The sequence below is a fragment of the Homo sapiens genome, chromosome 3, assembly GCF_000001405.40.
Source record: "Homo sapiens chromosome 3, GRCh38.p14 Primary Assembly".
Lineage (NCBI taxonomy): Eukaryota > Metazoa > Chordata > Mammalia > Primates > Hominidae > Homo > Homo sapiens.
Genome location: NC_000003.12, coordinates 63133324 through 63136885, shown reverse-complemented (window position 1 = coordinate 63136885; position 3562 = coordinate 63133324). Strand labels below are relative to the sequence as shown.

Here is a 3562-nt window from a genome sequence, read left to right as displayed (position 1 = left end):
AGACAGGGACACTTAAGTCTGCAGAGGTTACTGCTGTCTTTTTGTTTGTCTGTGCCCTGCCCCCAGAGGTGGAGCCTACAGAGGCAGGCAGGCCTCCTTGAGCTGTGGTGGGCTCCACCCAGTTCGAGCTTCCCGGCTGCTTTGTTTACCTAAGCAAGCCTGGGCAATGGCGGGCGCCCCTCCCCCAGCCTCGCTGCCGCCTTGCAGTTTGATCTCAGACTGCTGTGCTAGCAATCAGCGAGATTCCGTGGGCGTAGGACCCTCCAAGCCAGGTGTGGGATATAGTCTCGTGGTGCGCCGTTTTTTAAGCCGGTCTGAAAAGCGCAATATTCGGGTGGGAGTGACCCGATTTTCCAGGTGCCTCCGTCACCCCTTTCTTTGCCTCGGAAAGGGAACTCCCTGACCCCTTGCACTTCCCAGGTGAGGCAATGCCTCGCCCTGCTTCGGCTCGCGCACATTGCGCGCACACACTGGCCTGCGCCCACTGTCTGGCACTCCCTAGTGAGATGAACCCGGTACCTCAGATGCAAATGCAGAAATCACCCGTCTTCTGCGTCGCTCACACTGGGAGCTGTAGACCGGAGCTGTTCCTATTCGGCCATCTTGGCTCCTCCTCCGAAATGTTCTCTTTTTTATAGGTATTTCTTCTTGTTTCATAGATGCACTGTCTTATCTATTTGAAGATTTTTTTAAAGTTTCTTTTAAGTCCTATTTGTTTGCATTGTCTTTGTTTATTCTAATATTTGTTAGTTTATCTTTCCCTCTCTTTCATAAATTAACAGCTTCTCTTGAATATGTGGTGATCCTTGACTTTCTTTTTCCTTCTTTTTTAGTTAAGTGCTAAAAAAAGTGAAGAGAAATGTTGTGTGCATGGTTGAAACTTATCATCTGGTGGGCTAATTTTAGATTTCATGGCCAGCTGAATATTTCATTTGGGATTCCCCCAAGCAAATCCTTCTAGGGGGTCATTCAGTTTCTCCAGATAAGGAATCCTCAGTTTTATGTGTGGGGCTAAGGGTATAAGACTGCTTGTAATAGCTTTGAATTAGACAGAGGTATGGGGCTGTGAAGCTTATTGTAAAAGGCAGGCTTTCACTTAGCTCTCTATTTTCCATTTACACCTCCCCTCTACCCTCTTTTGTCCCTGGGATTCCAAGTCTAAAGCCTCTGTGGTTTAATTCTATCAGGGGCCATTCTTTCCATCTTGTGAGGGGGTCATGAAGGCAGGAGTCTAGAGAACTACAGGCACAATTGCTCCTCCCACTGACTTTCAAAATACCTCCCTATTTTTAGCCACCACTTGACTACCACCATCTGAAAAATCAGATTCCTTTAATTCCTGAGCCTTTATGAGGCTCTTCAGGGCAATCTGACACCTGAGTAAATGACTACTGTACTCTGCTTAGTCATTTACCATTCCTACATCTGCCTTCTGTCTTCATACATTATACTTTAGGAGTTATATATTTAATTTAATGGAAGATGATTTGATATGAGATGGAATTTGTATTGCTGTATTCCATGATGTTCTGGGAGTGATTTTCAAAAGGAGGAGGTTGATTTTACATAATTACCTTAAGGCTAGAAGTTCAGAAAATAGACTTTAAGTGGCAAAGGCAATTGATTTCCAAGCAGGTAATTCTTAATTTTTACATTTATTATAAATATATCTAAACTAAAAATAGGAAGATTTAAATTATCGTATTCCCCTCATTACTTTTTGCATGTACCCTTACAATCATAAGGTCTTTGAGGGCAGGGAACAAAAACACCCCTTATTATTTTCCACACTATCTTTAGCATAATGCTGGGTATAAGAAATGTTTGATAAGTACCATCTAAAGTTAATTGAGAATGAATTTTTAAAAATCATACCTGCCCACAATTTTCCTTAAGGATTAAATATTCCCAGACCATCATTCACATTCACAACCTTTGCAAATTCATTTTTCCTATTCTTTCTTCTGTGGTTTGAAAGAGGGAGAGCATAACTGATCTCCTTTTTCAGACCTAAGCTGTATGTCTCCTAAGAAAACAGACAACCACTGCCTCGTATGTTAAGTACAAACTATCAGTGACTCAATTCTCTATAAAAAGCAATTCACACTTCCTTCTATCCCTCTTAGAGACGACAAACATGAAGTTTGGGGAAAGAGAAAAAACTTCATGGCCTGTTAAAAGATGATCAGGCAGGCAATACATAAGCAGAATACAAGAGCTCTGCTTCATCAGAGAGAACAGACAAGTTAGCATGCAGAGAAGGGCAGAATTTCCCAAAGACATGGCCAGTAGAGAAAGCATCCCATGTCAGATACATTTGGCAATCACTGAATAAGTGTCCCCTTTTTGGAGATTCACAGAGTCCACTATCATATTGAAGGCTCTGAAAAGTACTGCAACCAGCTCAACTTATTTTTTATCCTAGCTTTACTGAGTTATGATTAACAAATGAAAATTTTATATACTATAGGTATATGATGTGATTTTTTGTTATACATATACATTGTGAAGAGATTACCATAATGAAGCCATTAAATAATTAACATATTCATCACCTCACATAGTTACCATTTGTGTGTGTGTGTGTGTGTGTGTGTGTGTGTGTGGTAATACTTAAGATCTCTCTTAGCAAATTTCAAATATACAATGTATTATTATCAATGACAGTACCCATGCTAAGCATTAGATTTCTAGAATTTATTCATCTTATAATTGAATGTTTATACCCTTTGATCAGCATCTCCCCATGTCCCCTTTTCCCCCAGACCCTGGTAACCACTCTTCCACTCTCTGCTCCTTTGATGTTAGCTTTTTAAAATTCTGCATATAAGTGAGATTATGCAGTATTTTTCTTTCTGTGTCTGAATTATTTTATCTATTTTTGTGAAAAAATGCCATTGTAATTCTGATAGAGATTGCCTTAAACCTGTAGCTTGCTCTCTGTAGTGTGGACATTTTGATTATATTAATTATTCGAAACCACGAATATGGGATATCACTCCATTTATTTTTGTCTTGTTCAATTTCTCTCATCAGTGTTTTACAGTATTCAGTATACAGATCTTTTACCTCCTTAAATTTATTCCTAAGTATTTTGTTTTTGATAGTATTGTAAGTGGGGTTGTTTTTAATTTTTTTCAATAGTGAATTGTTAGTATAAAGAAACAGCTGATTTTTTAATATTGATTTTATATCCTGCAACTTTACTGAATTAACTTATTAGTTACAACAGTTTTTTGGTGGAGTCTTATCTGTGCTCTCTTGTACCGCTTTTCATTATCCTATTTGTACAGAAGGAGGAACAACCTCAGAATTGGTTTAGGATTTCCCCCAGGTCGTATTAAGTAATACAGCTAGCTGAACACATTTAAAACAATTATTTTGAATTATTTTCAGTCAGTTTGTAGATCTCCATTTCTTTGGTGTCAGTTACTGAAGCATTATTAGTTTCCTTCTGTGTTTTCATGTTTGCCTGATTCTTCATGATCTGTGTGGCCTTATGTTGATGTCTATGCATCTCAAGGAGCAAACATCTCTTCTTATCTTTACAGATGGTTTTAAT

At 38.9% G+C, this 3562-nt stretch overlaps 1 annotated feature.

Moving 5' to 3' along the window:
- Positions 334–939: an enhancer, noted in NCBI's record as "OCT4-NANOG-H3K27ac-H3K4me1 hESC enhancer chr3:63121623-63122228 (GRCh37/hg19 assembly coordinates)". NCBI's record gives its function as "activates a minimal SCP1, AML or CMV promoter by ChIP-STARR-seq in primed H9 embryonic stem cells {active_cell/tissue: H9 hESC(primed)}" and the evidence as "EXISTENCE:reporter gene assay evidence [ECO:0000049][PMID:30033119]".